Below are 22,388 nucleotides of genomic sequence, written 5' to 3'. Positions count from 1 at the left end.
GTCAGGAGTTCGAGACCAGCCTGGCCAACATGATGAAACCCTGCCTCTACTAAAAATACAAAAATTAGCCAGGCATAGTGGTGGTGCACGCCTGTAATCCCAGCTACTCAGGAGGCTGAGGCATGAGAATCACTTGAACCTGGGAGGCAGAGGTTGCAGTAAGCTGAGATGGCACCACTGCACTCCAGCCTGGGTGACAGAGTGAGACTCTGTCTAAAAAAATTTTTGTAAAAACCACTAGAGAATACCAAAGAAGCCAAAAAAAAAAGCATGGGACAAAATCCCACACCCATTCTTTCTTTCTTTTTTTTTTTTTTTTTAGAGACTCTGCTCTGTTGCCTAGGCTGGAGTGCAGTGGCACAGTCAGAGCTCACTGAAGCCTCAAATTCCTGGGCCCATGTGATCCTCCCACCTCAGCCTCTCAAAGTGCTGGGATTACAGGTGTAAGCCACCACACTTGGCCCCATATCCATTCTTGATTAAAAACTCACTAAAATAAGAATCTATCTCCTCAACCTGATAGAGGGCCACTACGGAACCTACCACCCACGCTGTACTAACTCGCTCAGGACTGACAGCCCTGCCCCTAAGACCAGGGACAAAGCCAGTGCAGCACTTGCCACCACTTCTATTCCACACTGGCACACAAGTTCCAACCAGCGCAGGAAGGCAAGGAAAACAAATACACAGCATCCAAATAAGAGAAGAAGAAGTAAAACTGTCTTTGGTTTTTTTTTTTTCAGACGGAGGCTTGCTCTGTCGCCCAGGCTGGAATGAGTAGCGTGATCTCGGCTCACTGCAACCTCCGCCTCCTGGGTTCAAGCAATTCTCCTGCCTCAGCCTCCCAAGTAGCTGGGATTACAGGTGACCACTACCACGCCCGGCTGATTATTTGTATTTTTAGTAGAGATGGGGTTTCCCCATGTGGGCTAGACTGGTCTCAAACTCCTGACCTCAGGTGATCCGCCTGCCTTGGCCTCCCACAGTGCTGGGATTACAGGTGTGAACCACCACACCCAACCTAAAACTGTCATTCTTTGAATCAATGATTATATATGTAGAAAATTCTACAGACTCTAGGAGAAGCTACTGGAGCTATTCAGTTTAGGAGACTTGCAGGATACAAGGTAAACATACAAAAATCAATTGCTTTTTATAAATACTAGAAACAAGCAATTAGAAATTTAAGTTAAATTTACTGTTTATAACAGCCATTTAAAAATTTTAAATAGGTATAACTGACAAAAGATCTATAAGACCTATACACTGAAAAGTATAAAATATTGCTAAAAGAAATGAAAACAGATGCAAATAAATGGAGAGACATACCCTTTTCAAGGGCTGGAGGACTTATTATTATTAAGATTTCAATTCTCCAATTCTCCCTTAAACCGACCCATAGGTTCAATGTAATCCCAATCAAAATCCCAACAGGCTTTCTGTAGAGACTGACATGACCTAAAATCCATGTAAGAAGAAAGACCTGGAACAGCCAGACAACCTTGAAAAGGAACAAAGTTGGAGGCTTGATACTACCTGATTTTGAGACTTATCATAAAGGCACATATCATACACTAGGTTTGTGTTCCCCCCAGCTTCGTATGGTGAAACTTCATCCCCAATGTGATGTTACTGGGTATGAGGAGTTGAGGCCTTTGGCAAGTGATTAGGTCATGAGGGTGGGGCCTCATGAATGGAATTAGTGCCCTTACACAAGGGAGCACAGAGAGCTCTCCCATCCCTTCTGCTGCGTGAGGACACAGGGAAAAGACAGCCGCCTACGAACCAGGAAGCAGTCTCACCAGGACACTGAACCTGCTGGTGCCTTGACCTTGGGCTTCCTGACCTCCAGAGCATGAGAAATACATTTCTGTTGTTTATAAGCCACCCCATCTATGGTGCTATGCTAATGCAGCCTGAGTGTACTAAGACAGACAATAAGACCCTGTAATGTTGGTGTCAAGACAGACAAGTGTACAATGGAACACAACAGAGAGTCTTCAGAAACAGATCAACAAATATTTGGTCAACTGATTTTCTTTTTTTTTTTTTCACAAAGGTACAATAGTAATTCATTGGAGAAAGGGCAGTTTTTTCATCAAATAATGCTTGGACAACTGGATGTTCATTCCACCCTCCAATTTCCATTCATACCCCACAAACAATTTGCAAAGCTTAATGAGATAGATCATAATCCTAAATGTACAGGATAAAGCTGCCAAGTTTCTAAACAGGATAAAATCGTTGAGATCCAAATTAGTTACAGATTTCTGAGATGCATCATTAAAAGATCTGTGAAAGAAAACATTCATAAACTGGACTTCACCAAAATTAATAATTTCTGCATTTCAAAAGGCACTATAAAAACAATGAAAATACAAGCTGTAGTCTGAGGAAATATTTGCACAGACACGTATCTGATAAAGCACTGTACTGAAACTATACAAACATCTCTGCAAACTCAATCATGAGAAAACAATTTTTTAAAATGGGCCCAAAGACTTGAGGAAGGACTTCAACAAGTATTTTGTACAAATGGCAAAAAAGCACATAAAAAGATGTTCAGTGGCCGGGTGTGGTGGCCCACACCTGTAATCCCAGCACTTTGGGAGGCCAAGGTGGGCAGATCACAAGGTCAGGAGATTGAGACCATTCTGGCTAACACAGTGAAACCCCGTCTCACTAAAAATACAAAAAAAAAAAAAAAAAAATTAGCCGGGCGTGGTGGTGGGCACCTGTAGTCCCAGCTACTCGGGAGACTGAGGCAGGAGAATGGTGTGAACCTGGAAGGCAGAGCTTGCAGTGAGCCGAGATCGTGCCACTGCACTCCAGCCTGGGTAACAGAACGAGACTCCGTCTCAAAAAAAAGAAAAAAGAAAAGATGTTCAGCATCATTAGTCATTAGAAAAATACAAATTAAATCCACAACGAGATATCCCTTCACACTACAAGAATCAGCTCTGTTCCAGAGTCAAAGCAGGTCAAGGAGTCCAGGCCTGGACGTCGGCTGCAGTCTCTCTAGCTGCCATGATGGAGGCTGTGTGCCTTCTACCAGCGCTGCTGCTCCCTGTGGTCCCAGCCAACCCTCACACGTCATCATCCAACACAGCTGCCCCTTCCTTCCCATTCCTGGGTCTTCTCATGGCACTCACATGCTGGGGTCTCTCATCTTGCACAGCAAACAAAAAGTACCCCCCTCCTGGTCCTCCTGTATCTCTTTGGTCACCAATTTCTCTCGCTCTCTCTCCATCCTGCCCTCCCTGCTTTCATCGGCAAATGCCTTAAAAAGGAATCAACGACATTTCTCCATTCCCCCGTAGTCCATTCATTCATTCTCAATACATTCCAATCTGGCTGTAGCCCAAATACTGCCGATTTCTCAGACAGACATAAAAAGCACTAATATTAAAAAAAATTTGATAAATTTGACTATATTAAAACTAGCACCTTCTGTTAATAAAAAGACATATATATATAAAATTTATTTATTTATTTATTTTTTGAGACAGAGTCTCGCTCTGTCTCAGGCTGGAGTGCAGTAGTATGATCTCAGCTCACCGCAACCTCCGCCTCCTGGGTTCAAGCAATTCTCCTGCCTCAGCCTCCCAAGTAGCTGGGACTGCAGGCATGTGCCATCATGCCCACTAAGTTTTGTATTTTTAGTAGAGACAGTGTTTCCCCATGTTGGCCAGGCTGGTCTCGAACTCCTGACCTCAAGAGATCCACCTGCCTTGGCCTCCCAAAGTGTTAGGGATTACATCACACCCAGCCTCAAAAGATACTTTTTAAAAAGCTAAAAGATAAGGAAGAAATCTGGAGAAGATATGTACCTAAGAATAGTTTATCATAAGGAATACAGAAAGGACTCCCACAACAATGAAAATTGGATAAATTACTCAATAAAAAAGAGGGCAAAAGACGCAAGCAAGCATTTCATGGAAGAGGAACATTTTACGGCCCACGAACAAGAAGATTCTCAGCCTTGTAAATAAGTCAGAGAAAAGTAAATCAAGACCATCATGAGATGCATTACACACCTACCAGACTGGCACCAATTAGGAAGTCGAACAAAATCAGATTACAGAAAGGGCACCGATCAGCAGGCTGTTATACACATGGATACTGAAAGTCACTGATGCAACCACTTGTAAAGCTGGAAAAACCCCAAACCCAGCAATCCCATCCCTACATACACAGCAGCTCTAGGAACAGCAGCAAACAATCGTAACAGCAAACAATGAAGATGTCCATCAACAGAAAAACAGCGGGTATTCACACAACCGCAAACCAATGAACAGCAGTTACAACAACACGGAGACATCTCAGGAACACAATGTTTAGTGAAAATCTCGACTCCTAGGAACCAAATACAGCAAGTTACTCCTTTTCTAAAGTTCAAAAGAATTAAAACTGAAGAATACATTTTTTGTGCATGACTAGTTAATGGTTTTGTGGAGGAAGAAAAAGCCAGCTGGGTGCCAGGTCACAGCACCCCTCATCCGACAAGAAAACAAATAAAAGTAAGGAGCTGGTAGCTGACGGTGACAGTGAGGCATGAACCAAAGATCCGGTGCACATGAGATCTGGGAAAGAATACACATGCAAATGTATGCACCTTTATATCTCAAAAAATAGTTGATAATAAAGCTAGAAACACGGGGTATGCAAAAATGCTGTAGGAGCCCACTTCCATCCACAAGGCCTATACACGTCAACCACAGGCATGGTGGGGGCTCCTACGTCACTACTTAGATGTCAACAGACATACTCAAGAGAACACTGTCCAATTAAAGATAAAGAGACAAATTAACTGGGCATGGTGCCTCATACCTATACTCCCAAAACTTTGGGAGGCTGACGCAGGAGGATCGCTTGAGCCTAGGAGTTTATGACCAGCCTGGGACCCCATCTCTATTAAAAAAAAAAAAAGATGGCCGGGCGTGGTGACTCACGCCTGTAATCCCAGCACTTTGGGAGGCCAAGGCAAGCGTATCACAAGGTCAGGAGTTCAAGACCAGACTGGCCAATATGGTGAAACACTGCCTCTACTAAAAATACAAAAATTAGCCAGGCGTGGTGGCAGGCACCTGTAGTCCCAGCTACTTGGGAGGCCGAGGCAGGAGAATCGCTTGAACCTGGGAGGCGGAGGTTGCAGTGAGCCGAGATTGCGCCACTGAAATCCAGCCTGGGCAACAGAATGAGACCCAGTCTCAAAAAAAAAAAAAAAAAAAAAAGACATTTGAAAGAAGACTCACTAAAAGCATTACCTATTATATGTAAATTCCACATCCATAGGTTCAAAGTTATAGGCTTGTTCAAATTCTGGATTAATTTTAAGAGTTACATCTTCTTCATGAATCTAAAAAAGGAACAAACAATATACCTGATTTCTTGAAATAATGTGATATCTTTATCTAGCGACACATCATCAAAAATTCATTCTATAGCTCTGAGCTAAAATTTGATATCTGCAAAATTAGTTGAAAAGGATTAAATCATTACGCCATTCGATTATACAAACAAGAGGAAATGGATCACTACACACTCATACTTACTGAACTTCTATTCACTTGGCTGTAGCCTCTCCTAAGGCTCTGAGAATAGAGAATGTGTGGGAGGTCACTGACTCCATAGGACACAAACAAAACAACCACAAGGGTAGCCAAGTGTTACCTACTGTAAGGAAGCCTCGATAAGAAGGTCTGCTGGGTGCGGTGGCTCACACCTGTAATCCCAGCACTTTGGGAGGCCAAGGTGGGCGGATCACCTTGAGGTCAGGAGTTTGAGACCAGCCTGGCCAACGGGGCGAAACCATCTCCACTAAAAATAGAAAAAGGACCCAGGCGTGGTGCTGGGCACCTGTAATCCCAGCTACTTGGGAGGCTGAGGCAGGAGAATCTCTTGAACCTGGGAAGCGGAGGTTGCAGTGAGCCAAGATCGTACCACTGTACTCCAGGCTGGGTGACAGAGTGAGAATCCATCTCAAAAAAAAAAACAAAAAAAACAGTCATTACAAGACTTATCCTTTTAGTAGAAAAGCCCTCCAGCTAAAGCAAGATCCTGCATGATCAGTTCTGCATATTCTTTCCTAGACAGTATGGGTAGAAAAATAAGAAGGAAAGCCCTGATCTGAAAAGGAGCTCAAGCTCTTCTCCAGGTGACTCAGGCAACACCCTGGTAGGGTGAGTTTCCTGAGGGTCAGGGCTGACACCAGCAGAGAGTCGGGAAGCTACGCCCTGGGATGGCTTCCAGCTCCGGGAGGAAGGGAAGCAACAGTGGTACAGGGCCATGGGATTGTTTCCCCTGAGGATGAGGAAGACAGACCAAGTCCTGACTATACACAGGAGACATGCGTTAGTCTACTTGAGAACAGGTGCAGGTGGCATCCAAGAAAGCCTGAAAAGATGAAAATAATTTTTGGAGCTAAAAAGGATACGGAAGGTCATTTCAGATGCCAGGGTTTGATCAATGGCATGGAGGCCCGGCCATATGGCTCAGGAACCAGGGGTGGAGGCAGGCAGGTGCCTTCCTCCTGAGATCTCTGGCTCTGCTTCTTTGGAGGTTTTGGTATGCAAAGCTTCCTTTCTTGGCACAGCTGGTCTAGGAGGCTAAGATGGTCATTCGGCCATCTTGGGCTCCTCATGTCAACTTGGTCAACAGCAAAGGTGGGTAATGGAGAGCTGGCGAGGTCATGTCACTCGTGTCTCACATCTCAGTCCACAGGCGATGGCCTAATTCATTACAAAATCTCTGAAATCCTGCCAAGATGTTGTCTTCTGGGAAATATCCCACTCTGTGAAATCAGCCACAGCATGGACCCTGCATGAAGGTGTAGCGCAGAGTGACTGTGGCATCAAAGGTCGGAAGCTGCCTCTTCTCCAGATCCTTATCAGGCTCTTCTAGTTCTCTCAGCCCTTCTTCCTTCTGACAGTAAAGGCTCTGGCATTCTCCCTTCAAGTTTTCTACATTAAGTAATGTGTGGCTTCATCTTCTCTGATGCACAGATAGAGCACCTCCCTTCTCATGCAGATCCCAGTATCACTCCCAGTGCTATGACCAGTACATGACCAGTAAAGTCCAGCCCAAGAGTCACAGACCACCCCATGCAGAACCATCTGGAGCACCAGGATCTACTCAAAGCCAAAAAAACCACCTTCACGCAAACATCAGAGCTGCAAACTCATAGGTGTATTTTTCCTTTCAAGGCCTCCACTCTGCGAGCTCTTCTGGAATACATTCAGAATGCCCAAATACAACTCAACGCAAACCTCATGACTTACATATAACCTAAAAGATAAATATGTTTTACATGGTTGAAAATTATAGTATTAAGTTTCCTTTATGCATCAAAAATTATTTAAAGATTCACTGTATCTTGACATTTTCCAAAATAGCCAATGCATATGGGAGCATCTCCCCAAGAGCCGTGGGGAGAACGTTACCTTTCCAACCGGTCAGAAGGGTGTGTCTAACACAAACTCATTAAGAGAGAGTGCTCTCACCTCAGTCACGTAGCTGATGTATTCGATGGCATGTCCATTGTACTCTTGAGTTTTTAAAATCAGTTTATCACCTAGTTAAAAAATATATTACCATGTTTAAAGCTAACACAAAATCACAAATTTCTGTGCTGTCCTATAAAATCCAACACTGAGGAGGTTCAATAAAACGTTACTGGGGTCAGGCTGGGTGCAGTGGCTCATGCCTGTAATCCCAGCACTTTGAGAGGCCGAGGCGGGCGGATCACAAGGTCAGGGGATCGAGACCATCCTGGCTAACACGGCGAAACCTCATCTCTACTAAAAATACAAAAAAAAAAATCAGCCGGGTGTGGTGGCGGGCGCCTGTAGTTCCAGCTACTCGGGAGGCTAAGGCAGGAGAACGGCGTGAACCCGGGAGGCAGAGGTTGCAATGAGCTGAGATTGCGCCACTGCACTCCAGCCTGGGCGACACAGCGAGACTCCACCTCAAAAAACAAACAAACAAACAAACAAAAACATTACTGGGGTCAACTGCTTACAACTAATGAAATACAACAAAGAAACATGCTTGATGTACATCGGTTGCTGATTTTTAGTGAAATTCTAACCCAAAAGAAAGAAAATGCGATAATGTGACTGTCATATTGCCAGTTAAAGAGTATCTTCTCTCAAGTATGGTTTCTCTGCTAGTCCACCCAGGGAAGCATATGAGTAACAAACACACCTGCGTAGAGAGAAGGCCTCCCTTCGGCCAACCCTGGGACCTCCAGAACCAGCAGATCCCCATTCCTTCTTAAGATGATCCCGCTCATGTTATACTCTTTCAGTTCCATTTCTGCATAAATCTCCTCAAGCCACAGCAAAGTCGAAAACTTCTCCTTGTAATTTGACATGTTCAGAAGCTGGAAAACACCCAAATGTTATAAAGTCAGCAACAGCTCAGCAGCACTCTGGAAAGTAGCAGCTCCGGAGCAGGAAAGTTCCAACAGCTCCAGTTCAGCAGATGGCCCCCCAGGTGGGGCGATCCTCGCCGGAGTCTGCAGGTGCCTCAGTAAGTTCCCCGGCCTTCAGCACGAGGGCCATGGGGCTCCAGCACACTCCCTGGCCTTTGGCATGAGGCAGTGGGGCTCCAGCTGGCGGTGTCCCTCCCTGCACTGCCCACTCCTGTCCACCCTCCCTGCTCTTTTTCAGGTTGTCCACGTTAATTCTGGGAAGGCAGAATTTGGCTTCCACAGACATCTGTGAAAAAAGGACAAACTTCCAGGTCTGGCCAAGGTGGACTAACAAGGACCAGATTTACCCTTCTACCTGAAAAAAACTTAAAGAGACAGAGAAATAAGAAACGATGGTGTTTAAACAATGAACATCACGTAGCAAAGGATTGTGATCCCAAGACTGGGGAAACAATCCATGGGGGCCCCATGACTGATCCACCTGTGCCTGAACAGAGCTCCTAGGCCCCAGCACAGAGGACCCAGGGATGCTGCATGGTTTCTAAGGAGAGGAGCTCTGATCTGTGGGGCTGAGCGCTGGGAAGAGCAAGCAGCACAGAGTGGTCTGGAGAGGGTCAGGGGACCCACTCAGGACCATCAGCTCAGCACTAAGGAATGCATGAGACACCATCCTGCAAAACCCATTGAGGGGCCAGACCAGGGCCTCAGCATGAGGTGGGGGAAAACTCACAGCAGCCTGCCCGGAATTGGAAAGTGGGAGGGCAGAAAGTGCGTCTGAACACATGGTGGCTGAAAATTTCCAAATCTGAAGAAAACTCAAGGCCGCATATTCAAGAATCCCAATGAACCCCAAGCACAAGAACAGGAAGAAAAGAATCTCTACCACCACACATCGTAAACCAAATCTATTAATATCAGTGATAAAAGAGAGAATCTTAAAAGCAGCTAAGAAAAAACAACGTTATGTGCAAAAGAGCAAAGATAAGAATTAAAGCAAAAGAACCCCATAAGAAAAACTAAAAAATACTTAGGAGATGAATAAAAACAAAAACACAATACAGCAAGACTTATGGGAGCAGCACAAGCAGTGCTGAGGGAATTTGTGACTATGAGCACTGATTCCCATGAGCACTGCAAGGAATTAGACAAAGGAGAACAAACTAAACCCAAAGATAGCAGAAGGAAGGAAATAAAGATTAGAGGAGAGATGAACAAAAGAGAGAACTGAAAAACAATACAGAAAACCAGGAAAACAAAAAGTTGGTTCTCCAAAAAGATCAACAAAATTGACAGACTTTTAGTAGATTAACTAGAAAAAAGGGAAAGACAAATTACTAAAATAAGATAGGAAAGTGGGAACATTACTACAGAATCTACGGAAATAAAAAGGATTATAAGAGTATGAGCAATCGTATACCAATACCCAGATGAAATGGACAAATTCCTAGAAACACAAAACCTACCAAGACTAAACCATGAAGAAAGAAAATCTGAATAGACCAATTACTACTAAGGAGGTTAAAGCAGTAATAAATATTCTGAAAAGGAAAACCCCAGGACCTGATGGCTCCATAGCTAAATTCTACCAAACATTTGAAGACTAACTAATACCAATCTTTCTCAAACTTTTCCAAAAAATTCAAGAGGAGGGAATACTCTCTGACTTATTCTTATGAGGCCAGCATTACCCTGATCCCAAAGCCAGACAGAGACACTTCAGGAAAAGAAAACTACAGACCAATATGAACACTGATGAAAAAATCCTCAACACGATACTAGCACACAAAATTCAGCAGCATATGAAAAGGATTAGCTGGGTGTGGTGGCTCATTCCTGTAGTCCCAGTTACTTGGGAGACTGAGGTGGGAGGATTGCTTGAGCCCAGGAGCTCGAGGCTGCAGTGAGCAGTGACTGAGCCATTGCACTCCAGCCTGGGCAACACAGTGAGACCCTGTCTCAAAAAACATATATAAAATAAAAGGATTACATGCTATGATCAAGTGGAATTTATTCCTGGAATGCAAGGATAGTTCAACATTTGAAAATCAATTACTGTAGCAACACACATTAACAGAAGGAAAAAAAATCATATGATCATCTCAATACAGAAAAAGCAATTGAATTTTTTTTTTTTTTTTTTTTTTGAGACATGAGTTTCCCTCTGTCACCAAGGCTGGAGCGCAATGGTGCGATCTCAGCTCACCGCAACCTCTGCCTCTTGGGCTCAAGCGCCTCCCAGGTAGCTGGGATTACAGGTGCATGCCATCACACCCAGCTAGCATCTGACAAAATTTAACACCCTTTCATGATAACGTTTAACAAACTAGGAAGAGAAGAAAATCAGGCTGGGTGTGGTGGCTCACACCCATACTTGCCTGTAATTCCAACACTTTGGGAGGCCAAGGCGGGAGGATTGTAAGACCCTGTCTCTATGATATACAAAAGTTAGCCGGGCATGGTGGTGTGCCGCTGCAGTCACAGCTGTGAGCTGTGATTGCGCCACTGCACTCCAGCCTGGGCGACAGGAGAGCCTGTCTCAAAAATAAATAAATAAATAAATAAATAAAAAAGAGAAAAAGGAAAAGAAGAAAAAGAAAGAAAGAAAGAAAGAAAGAAAACCATCACCTCAAAATGATGAAAGTCATATATGAAAAACCCACTGTTAACATCATACTCAATGGTGAAAGATTGAAAGCTTTTCCCATAAGATCAGGAACTTCCAAGGGAAGGATGCCTGCTTTCACCACTGCTATTCATCATGGTACTAGAAGTTCTAGCCAGAGCAATTAGGCAAGAAAAGGAAATGAAAGGCATCTAAATTGGAAAGGAAGAAATAAAATTATCTGTTTGCAGATGGCATGCATAATTTTATATGTAGAAAACTCTAAAAGATTCCACAAAAAACTGTTAGAATAAATAAATTCAGCAAAGTAGCAGGGTACAAAATCAAAGGACAAAAATTATCTTCATTTCTAAACAACACTGAAGAATCTGAAAAGGCAGCTATGAGAGCAATGTATTTACAACAGCAGCAAAAATAATAAAATACTTACAAATTAATTTAACCAAAGAAGTGAAAAACATATACAGAGAAAATGACAAAACACTGCTGTAAGAAATTAAAGAAGACATAAATAAATGTTAACACATTCCATGTTCATAGCCTGGAGGATTCAATATTGTTAAAATGTCCATACTAACCAACGCAATCTACAGATTCAATGCAATTCCCATCAAAATTCCAATGACAGGCCGGGTGCAGTGGCTCACACCTGTAATCCCAAGCACTTTGGGAGGCTGAGGCGGGAGGAATACTTGAGGCCAGGAGTTTGAGACCAGCCTGGGCAATGTAGTGAGACCTCGTCTCTGGGGAAAAAAAATTCCAATGCTATATTTTGCAGAAATAGAAAAATGCATCTTAAAATTCGTATAAAAGATCTTGAAAAGCAAAATAAATTCTGCCAAAGAACAACAAAGCTGGAGGACTCAAATTTCCTGATTTCAAAACTTACTACAAAGCTGCAGCATCAAAACATCAAGTCGGTGGCCTGTGGAAGGAACTGAGGAGCACCCTCCAAGCCCAGCAGACCTGGGTCCCCAGGGAGGAGCTGAGGAGCACCTCTCCATCCTAGCAGACCCAGGTCCAGCTTTTTCTGCCACCTCGATGAACCATTCAGGCATTTGCCTACAAACTCAAAGTGACTGGGGGACAGAGGACTGCGCTCGCGACTCATGGCAACCTCCCTGCCCAGGATCTGTGAGTAAAACACATCTGAACTTGTTTCTATCACGGCAGTGGATTGAATTTGCACCTTCCATCCTAAGAACCCAGCACTGCCCAGGCCGGGTTTTCCCTGGCATTGGGGAACATAAGTTTGGGCTCCCAGTGCCAGATGATCAGGCAGGCATAACCTGGATACAGGTCAGACGAGAGCCACTGGGGCGTCTGCCAGAATAAGTTTCCTGCGTGAGGAACCCCGGTCATGGGGCATCAGCTGTCCTCCTGGTAAAACAAGGACATTTTTTTAAACAAGGAGGTGTATTTGGAAAGGATCCCCTGAAGGGCGCATGGTGAACACCTAGGTCCCATTCCCTTCATTCTCCTTAGGACAGGGCTGCCAGCTGCTCTGGCACTGGAACTCCAGTTTAGCTGGGGACTCTCAGAACACCTCAAACCCCTACAGAAAAAAACCCTCCTGGACAAAGGGCAATGTTCTCCCCTCAAACTGCCAAATTTATAGACTTTTCTTCCTTCTTGAACTTTTCTTCTCCACCTACCCCACTCAGAACGTGCTCCTCTGTCTCCCATGTGGGTGGGGACCTGGGCTCTCCTCCCCTGGACCCTTGCCCTGCTGGCTCTGTCAGGATGATGGTAAAAGGCTAGAACACTTCTTGCTCATAACAAAGGCCTCCTAGTCTAGCGAGAGAGGCCAGGCTGATGGCAGAGGTATCCCTCAGTTCTTCTGCTCCAGACCCCAAAGGCCCTGTGCGTGACCCCCAGTGAGGCTGTGGGATGCCAGCCCCTGGTGTACAGCAGGTCTGGCAGCGTGAGTGCTATGGTGCCTCATCCCTCACGGCCAGGCAGTGACCCTCGTTATCCCAGCTACCTGTGAAGAAAACAAGCCAGATGAAGGTCTGAACCTGAGAAGGAACCTCCTGGCTTTGTCAGAAAACAAGAGCATTAGAAGATGCCAACACCCCACAGGCCATGAGACACTTCCTACCTCTGCAAGTAATGGCTGGAAAGTCAGGATGTCAATTTTTTGTTCCACACATTTTCTAAGTCTATCTGGGATTGGATATTGGGGAAGAAAACTTGGAAGTTGTCGTCTTGAGTTCCTTAAAAAATTAAGTTCACAAGTTAAAAATAAGTCTTTATCACCAGGTATCACTAGACATTCTTACCTAAACATCCTTTCCTATTTTAGGAAGACCAAAGTCCATCCATTTCCTGAGAAGAACTGATATATGAATAGCTGGTCTAAGGCAGTGGTTTGAAGCTTTCGTTTTAGCTCTGGGATCCTTTCCTCAAACAGTTCCCACAAGTGCTCTACTATTTGTAAACAGGTAAGTGTAGCTGCACAGGCTGTGGGAAAACAGGGCTGGAACCCCCAGAATCTCCTGGAACCAGGAGTTTGGAAACAGCTGTTTTTAACATTCTATGAGCTAAGCTCTTCCTACTATATTTGACATCAGGACTCCACCTGGGCCTATCCCTGCAAAGCACACATTAGGAAAAGGCTGCTCTGTCTGGGTCCTGCCTTCGATTTGTTTTTGTTTTGTTTCCCAGCCTGTGGTTTCTCTGGGGAAATTCAGTTTGTTCAGGATGAAGAACATCGCTGCTCTGGAGCCAAGCCCAATGCGGCAACAGAAACAATGGGAAAGGGACAGACAGGAGAGGAGAAGCCAGGAGAGAACAGGGAAACGAAAAGTCAGAGTGAGGTCGATAAAACTCAACTCAGCAAATAAGGATGTTGGTTGGACCTTTATCCCTCATTCCCTCCCAGCTCTCCATTTCAGTGCAGTCTCACCCAAGAGAGAAGCCCACATTGCTCTCCGTATTCCATTCACTGTCATCTCAATTTGGGTTCCACTGGCTCAGCCCTCAACAGGAGAAACGGGGTGAAGACATTCCCCATGGTTTGTGCTGAGGGTTATGTCAGCGCTCACATGCGAGGTGTATTTGGAAAGCATTGATTACTAACACGAACAAGGTAAAGGGAAACCAGGATGATCACTACAGGCTTAGGTCAACAGCCTGAACAGCTAACAGAACCATGTGGCCTCAACAGACACGCTGGATTAACAAAATGTGGTTCCTACCATGATGGGTGGCTAGAAACTTGGCTGGGAGTGTGCTGGCCTACAAAGCCCCCCAGAACAGATCTGCTAAGTGAACACTCTGCTCTAGCTAAGAGCCAAAGTTGCCTGGCACTGGGGGTCCTAGCAGGAAGTGCAGGACCTGTGACAGGCGGCCACGGATGGACAGCTCTGGAAGCAGGCACCCGCCAATGCCCGCGTGGGCAGGTCCAGACACCTGGTGCTCCAGGTGTGCTCGAGCCAACCCGGGTCAGGCACTCTGGGTCACTAACCTGAGTGGCAGGAAACTGATGTCCTTGTTTTAGATACGCTCCCACACAATATGTTAATATTCACGGGGAAGTAACTGACCAGGGGGTTAAAATCCTTGTGGCTGTTGCTCTGTGTATTTCACTCTTTCTGTTAAGCCAAATGATAACTAGAAAGCTGCTTGGTGTGTCACTAGATGAGAACCAGGGATCCTCCAAGGCTCCTGTCATTAAAACTCGATCCTCGGGGACTCTGCTCTGCCTGGCAGCCGAGGGACTTTCCTGCTCCTTTTCTGGGTTACATCCCTACAGCCCCTTGATGTTGAAACTGTGCCCCAAAGAGTTAAAGAAACCGATGACTAACAGAAATTCTTGAGCCTGCAGGATGGGTGATAAGAAACAACTCCAGCGCTGAGTCTCCCCCTGCTTATGACATCAAAGGACTGGCTGAGATCAGCTGGAACCAAGATGGACAACTGGAGTTTGTGCAGAGCTTACTGACGTCACAGCCTGGATTCCCACCGTGTTTCATGCGAACTCCCTCCGAACTGGCACATGTGACCCATGAGGTAGCATGAAGGGGTAACTATGCACACCCAAGGCCTTTCCAGACCTCCCTTTTCCTTCCACCAACCACCTATTAATCCCAGATTCTACCCACTAAACGTTTTCTGACAAAATTACTGCCTTAAAGCCAGCACAGAGAGACACATTTGAGCTTGACTCCTGTCTCCTTGGGGGTTGGTTTTCAATACAAAGCTTTTCTTTTCTCAGAAACCCACTGTCGTAGCAATGGCCCCTAGTGCATCAGGCAGTGAGCCCCTTTTTCTCAATAATAATATGCCCAGGGATCATGACTGCTTATTCGCTTACTGAGTGATTGCTTTGTGCCAGAAAACTGCACATTTTACATGTCTGACCTCATTCAATCTTCAAACCACACGAGGCAGGGACTATCATTTTACCAATGAGAACAAGGCTCAGAGTGGTTAAGAAACTTGCCCAAGGTCACACAGCTTCTTGGTGGTGGTGCTGTGATTCAAACAATGGTCTAACCTTAAAAGGTAAACAACCACATGATATTCTTCCCTGGTAACAGGTTTTCCCTTTAGTCTGCAACTAAGTAGAAGTCCATAATCCCTCATCTTGAACTGTAACTGGGGCAACACGTGATTTGAAATTCAGAATCTTTCAGTATTAGAAAAGTGACCCACCTCACCCTCAGGGAGGTCTGGGGTAGTAGCAGAGCTCAAACCCATCAGTTATTATAGCCGATGGAGGAAAAGTCACATCACACGGGACTAAGTCATTACACTTTAAAAAGCCTGCTATTCAGGGCTTTTTCGTTTTATAACTACAGAAGAGAACACGTGGATGTGAAGTGCTTTCCTGAGACTACCCTCCAGTTAAAATCTGGGTGGTCCCTATGTTCCCCAGCCACAAGTCCCAGATCACACACTGCTTCTCCTAACTCCATTCTTAAGTGGTACCACATCTTCAAACAGGCTTCAGGTGACCCCACAATCCTGTTGCCCCCAGTGCGAATGACACGGGGATGCCGTGCACTACACACCATGGCCTCGTCAGGACGGGAGAGGTGGCAGGAGCTGGGTGAGGCCAGCCTGCTCTGAGAGCCACCTTGGAACTGCCAGAGCAGAGTGGGGCTTGGGGGAGTGAAGGCCGTCTTCCTTGGGCTTCACGCTGCTGCTGGGCAGCTGCAGAGACAGAACTTGACCTTCAGAGCTCCGTGGAAATGCACTCCATCCCCCAAATACAATCATGGAAAGAGGCTTGAACCCCAGCTTCATCCCCTTTATACCTCCCCAGCCAGGTGGTAGCCACCGCTTGCCAGTGCACGTCCGCTTTTCCTTCACAGATAAAACTGCCAGACCAAGAGCCACACTCATTTCAGTTATGGTACCTTTTCTGTGCGGTCACAACAACTGTAGTTTTTGCGGATGTTAACGCTTGTGAACTTTTAAGCTTTTTCCAAGAAAATGGTTCGCGCGCAGCAATTAGTGACTCCTCCCCACTGATAACATTTACTTCAAGGTATCGCCCAATTAGGAAATCGGAAAAACAGAGCAAAAGGAGCTCCTTGCAGCGGCCAGGATTTCTTGAAAAAAACAAAATGAAATTTAGTTTTAGTCATAAATAAGATAGGCAGTCAACACAATTTTCCTTTGTACATACAAGAAAAGTGACAGAGTTAAGACTCATCTTTAGTCTTCAATAATTCTTTTTACAGAGAAAAAAGAGATCTTCTAAAATAAGCTATGTAATTAATATTTTCTCAAGATAAAATTAAGCACCTACAGGCCCGGTGCGGTGGCTCAGGCCTGTAATCCCAGCACTTTGGAAGACTGAGGCGGGCAGATCGCTTGAGCCCAGGAGTTTGAGACCAGCCTGGGCAATATAGGATGAACCTGTCTCTGCAAAAAATACACAAATTAGCCGGACATGGAGGCGTGTGCCTGTGGTTCCAGCTACTCGGGAGGCTGAGGTGGGAGCCTAGGGAGGTGGAGGCTGCAGTGAGCTGTGATCATGCCTCTGCACTCCAGCCTGGGCAACAGAGTGAGACCCTGTCTCAAAAAAAAAAAAAAAAAAAAAAAGTAAGCATCTACAATAGTCTTTTTTGTAATCCTAACACATATAAGAGTAGGAAAAAATTTTGATATTCCCAATTTTAAGTCAGAATTTTATGACATGACCAAAAATAGGTACTATATCTAATGTGCTTTCTGCCCAGTCCTCGCTGTGGCTCTAACTGGGGCTACATCATCCACACTACACTTTGTGCCCCCCTATGGCTTTTTTTTTTTTTTTGAGACGGAGTCTCGCTCTGTCACCCAGCCTGGAGTGCGGTGGCGTGATCTCGGCTCACTGCAAGCTCCGCCTCCCAGGTTCACGCCATTCTCCTGCCTCAGCCTCCTGAGTAGCTGGGACTACAGGTGCCCGCCACCACGCCCAGCTAATTTTTTTTATTTTTAGTAGAGACAGGGTTTCACTGTGTTAGCACCTATGGCTTTTTTGAAAAAACCTGTTTCTATGTTGTCATAATGTCAAAAAAAAAAAAAAAGCATTGAAGCTGGCTGCACCTCACACAGCTGACTGTGCACTTGCCACCCACAGCTTGATGTTGATGAGCTGTGATTTAATCAGATTTAAGTTTTTCAAAAAATTTAGAATTAGACACCCAGCTGGAAGGCTATCACGCACTGTCGGGCAGCTTAGGCAGGGATGCAGGGACACAGGGAGCTGGAGGACAGGGCCTGTTTGGTCAGCTGATGTAACCAACCACACCAGGGAGAGCGAAGGGCTCAAGGTTGGCGTCTGGCATCCCAGCTAGGAAGGGGCCCTTCCTGCCCCTCCCTCAGCACACTGTGCTGTCCGTGCCTTGGCCAAATGCCCAGGTGACGGGATGGAGATGACCGAGGCCCCAGGGCTTGGCTATGCGGAACACGGGCAAGGCAGTGAAGAGGAGCCAACGTGATGTCTCAGAACAGCAGAAGCACAGGGAGCTCAGGCCTCAGAGAGCCTCAGAGACACCCTGTTTTCTTTGTGAGGGTGAGAGGCCATCTGGTGAGGACCCTCATGAGTCGTGCGAAGTTACAGGATCCATTGCCCCAGGTGGGTCACACTTGGTACCCAGCTTCTAGACCAATGCTTTTTCTTAGGATTCTGTCACATCAAAAACGTCAGGTGTACCTTTTTGTTTTTTTGAGACAGAGTCTTGCTCCGTCTCAGGCTGGAGTGCAGTCGTGCGATCTTGGCTCACTGCACCCTCCGTCACCTGGATTTAAGCGATTCTACTGCCTCAGCCTCCTGAGTAGCTAGGACTACAGGGGCCCAAGTAATTTTTGTATTTTTAGTAGAGGCGGGGTTTCGCCATGGTGGCCAGGCTGGTTTCGAACTCCTGGTCTCAGGTGATCCACCCGCCACAAAGGAGTACCTTTTATAACACCCAACCTAGAAGTATCAGAGAAACTTAAAAACGCGGCTCTCCCCAGACCTCCAGGCCCTTACTTTCCGTCACAGATGACCACAATGAAGGTTTTTCCCCCTGGAGGGACAAGCCCCCCAGGCTCAGGCTCTGTCATCTGCTTCCTTGATAGAATGTTGTCTTTTTCTCCATTTTCTCCTTTACAGGTACAATCACCTGGGAAATAAAATTTTAATACAAAAGTTGACCAAAAGGTAAATTATCTCTAACAGTGCTGGCATGCTTAGTGGAAATGAATACTCTCTCACACACACAAAGACAGATGCACACAAAAACACGGGGCAAAGCCTCAGGTGGTGGCTGGAAAAACATAAAGAGAGAGAGCAGCTGGAAGTAGGAGAGGGCTGTGACTACCAAGTGCTGGGATAGAAGGCCTGCCCCGGCGCGCCCAGCAATCTTTCCCTGCTTCGAGGTACTCAGGAGCCGGCCGCCATCTGAAGCACCTCTTGGTATTTGTCAAGCTGCTTTTTGTCCCTCTCCCTAACGTCGTCAGCAAGAGAAGGGCCTGAAGCCGAAGAGCTCAGAGCACAAAGCACTGTAGCTGCCGGGTGTCCTGGCCCCTGCTGCCCGCCCTCTGTCCAGAACTCACAACCCCACGGCCCCCAGCCCACCCGACCTCACGCAGTGACAGCCGAAACGTCCACTACCTGGAGAGATTCCTCTGTTGTTCACCAAACTGCTCTCCGACATCTGAGAGGTTTTGTTTTTTGTGTGGCTATTTAATGAATTAATATTTTCATCTGATGAATTCTCCTTCTCAGGAACAGAAACAAAAGATACCACGGGGCACATCTGGTCTTTATCCAGCATTTGGAATCTGAATTGTTTAGATTTATCCCAGCCAGCCAGTTTACAGCTGACTAAGTTTTGAGGAATGTCTCCTTTATTCCTGGAAAAATACAATTAACTATGAACACAGCCAGGATTTCTAAAACCAAAATATTCAGTTATCATAAAACACAAAACCTAATCTAGGAAGTGGTGACTGCAAATACACTTATGAATATAAGTCAAAAGGTCATTTTTGGGTAAAAAATTTTGAAAAGATCTTCATGCCGGGCGTGGTGTCTCACGCCTGTAGTCCCAGCACTTTGGGAGGCTGAGGCGGCAAATCACAAGGTCAGGAGCTCCAGACCATCCTGGCTAACACGGTGAAACCCCGTCTCTACTAAAAATACAAAAAATTAGCCGGGCGTGGTGGCGGGCGCCTGTAGTCCCAGCTACTCGGGAGGCTGAGGCAGGAGAATGGTGTGAACCCGGGAGGCGGAGCTTGCAGTGAGCTGAGATCGCGCCACTGCACTCCAGCCCGGGCGACGGAGCAAGACGCTGTCTCAAAAAAAAAAAAAAAAAAAAAAAAGAAAAGATCTTCATAAAGAAAAAAATAAATGACCAAAGTAAAGTTGGTTTTACAGAAATTATTGAGTCATAGTGTAAAAGCCATTAATGTAGCTTTATAGAAAATGTTTCAGTGGCAAACTCACTCTATCCAGATCACCATGGTTTTACTTCTTCCTTCCTTTAGGGTTCCAAAATGCGTCACCTGTGTAACTTCAATATCACCTTTGTTCTTCAGCAAAATCGTTCCATAGAAATGAGTGGCCTCATGAACAGGGGCGGCGTCTCTGAAAAAAGAGCCCCAGAAAGACATCCCTCTGCAGCAGCACCACCCCTTCCTCGCCTGCCTCCGCTCCTGAGGATAGACTGCTGGTGGGGGCACTCAGAGGACCACCTCACCACAGGCAGGGCTTCCACAGACTTAGGTTTCTAAGGAGGATGGCAAACCCTAAGGAAGAGAACGATGCACTTCATAAAGTCTAGAGAAAAGGGAGCAGCCCAGGGGACAGCCACAGGCAAGGAGTCTGAGAACGGTGTCCTGAACGTGCTCCCCAGCACTCCCCTACCTCCTGCTCAGAGTGCAGGGTTAGGGTGGCATTCTCAGTCCTCTTCTCTCCAGCCAACTCCCAAGGTGGTGGTGGGGGAAGCATGGGCCTTGCCTATTAGGGCTCCACTAAACTTGCTTTGGAAAGAGTTTTGTTGCTTTGAAGTGTTTGAAAACAATGAAATGAGAAGTTTTTCTCTTTAGAAAATGAGAAGATGAGATTTTACCTTTCCCTAAAAATGGACCCACTTACTTCCCCTTCTTCTACTGATGCTACAGGCTTGATTCTCCTCCCTGCCTCTCCACAACCTCTTTCCAGAAGGTAAACCTGCCTCATGCCACTTCCCAGTCCGAAGCACCATTAAAAAAATGGGGTCTCTAGAATGGCTCGCCACACTTCTGGCCCCTGCTGCAAACTCAGTGAGGTTCCCAGCTACAGAGCAGCCCCTCCTGGCGGGTGCCTGTTTGGCTCTTCCTTCTCTGTGTGCCCTGGTGTGACAAGGGAGGTACAGGGGCAGAGAGTCCACAGCGTTGCTGATGGACGGGGTGGGGATTTTGCAGAAAGGAGTCGTCAGATGCGACTGCCCGGTGCGTGGCTCAGCCCCCACAGGAGAAGCTGCGGAGCTCTTGCCACGGGAAGGCTGTGGGGCTGAGTGGAGAGCAGGAGCTCGCTTGGCACATGATCTGTTTCTAGAGTGCAGAGGGGCTGCCCCACCCGGGGCCACGAGCTGAGGAACAGGCACCCCAGCTTCCCTGGCTCACCCACCCCAGCAGCTTCTACTCTGTGGTCAGGAGGCCTCAGTGGGGAAATGCTGTGGGGGCAGAAACAGGTCTTTTTCAAGCATTACTAGCCTAAAGAGAAGGAGAGTGCGGGTTCCGTGCTGTGCTGTCTCCTTAGCGGCCCTAGTGAGTTCCTGAAGACCCCCAGGCCACGCTTCAGGCCCCTGGTTCCTGGGCCTGATGCAAGAATGGGACGCCACAGCTTCTGCCTGGGGATGAGGTCAGAGAACAGACAGGAAGCCTGAGGAGTCCGACTCAGACATAGGGAGGAGGTGCAGGTCTTATTTCCTGGCACCGCCAGGCTCAGCGGACTGGGCTGAAAGCAGAGCTCCTGTGCGTCCCAGGCTTCCGTGGTCAGATGCAGCGGGAGCAGTGCACGTCACATCCACGCCCCACAGGATGGGCCCTAGGCACCCTCCCAAAGGAAAGCGTGGTCCAGTGGGGAGGGGGAACTGGGCTCCGAGCACCCAAACAAGCATCTGCCAGTGGGCCGAAGGGCAAGGCTCCTAGGAGGCTGAGCCCACCAGGCCCTGTCCCATAACACCTCCCACAGCCCCAAGTCCACCCTCCGGCTGCTACCTTACATGGGGTGCACTGCTCCGCACACCCCTGTGGCTCAGTTCACACAGGGCTGTCTGTCTGCACCCAGAGGCCCAGCCAGGCACCAGATATGGGGCTGGAAAGCAGACGCTTTCCCCAAACAGAACCTGCATTCTATCGGGATCAAAAATAAGCAGACTGATGGAGGAGATGTCTCAGAAGCTCACTGGTGGTGAGTGAGGAGTGTGAAAAGAAAATAAAGACTCGGGGCCGGGCGTGGTGGCTCACGCCTGTAATCCCAGCAGTTTGGGAGGCTGAGGTGGGCGGATCATGAGGTCAGGAGATTGAGACCATCCTGGCTAACACGGTGAAACCCCGTCTCTATTAAAAATACAAAAAATTAGCCAGGCATGGTGGCAGGTGCCTATAGTCCCAGCTACTCAGGAGGCTGAGGTGGGTGAATGGCGTGAACCCAGGAGGTGGAACTTGCAGTGAGCAGAGATCGCGCCACTGCACTCCAACCTGGGTGACGGAGCGAGACTCCATCTCAACGTCTCAAAAAAAAAAAAAAAAAAAAAAAAAAAGCAAAGACAGAGTCGGGACCCCACTCACCATGCCAAAAGGAAAAAACTCAGCCAGAAGCTGTCATGAAAGAAGCTGCCTTTCCTTTGTCCCCAAGCAGAG

The 22,388-nt window shown here is 46.6% G+C and overlaps 1 protein-coding gene across 19 annotated transcripts in view; it reads right to left on the bottom strand.

Annotated features, from left to right (window-relative positions):
* MOV10L1 (Mov10 like RNA helicase 1) overlaps positions 1–22,388 on the bottom strand; it is a 71,682-nt gene that overhangs the window by 27,913 nt on the left and 21,381 nt on the right. For 14 of the 19 annotated variants that reach the window (XM_011530697.2, XM_005261923.5, NM_001164105.2 and 11 more), the window contains 8 exons: positions 19,987–20,127; positions 19,153–19,394; positions 18,529–18,661; positions 16,424–16,618; positions 13,159–13,273; positions 8,206–8,383; positions 7,503–7,573; positions 5,268–5,359 (listed from right to left, as the gene is read on the bottom strand). In XM_011530697.2, coding sequence (XP_011528999.1) covers positions 5,268–5,359; positions 7,503–7,573; positions 8,206–8,383; positions 13,159–13,273; positions 16,424–16,618; positions 18,529–18,661; positions 19,153–19,394; positions 19,987–20,127 — 1,167 coding nt within the window. Of the gene's footprint in view, positions 1–5,267; positions 5,360–5,958; positions 7,288–7,502; positions 7,574–8,205; positions 8,384–11,635; positions 11,657–13,158; positions 13,274–16,423; positions 16,619–18,528; positions 18,662–19,152; positions 19,395–19,986; positions 20,128–22,388 lie in introns of those variants that run through there. The other 5 variants (XM_017028837.1, XM_011530698.2, XM_017028835.2 and 2 more) reach the window with 5 other exon arrangements.

The sequence above is a fragment of the Homo sapiens genome, chromosome 22 (genome assembly GCF_000001405.40).
Source record: "Homo sapiens chromosome 22, GRCh38.p14 Primary Assembly".
NCBI lineage: Eukaryota > Metazoa > Chordata > Mammalia > Primates > Hominidae > Homo > Homo sapiens.
The sequence above is the reverse complement of the archived record's forward strand: the minus strand, read 5'-3'. Positions and strand labels throughout refer to the sequence as shown.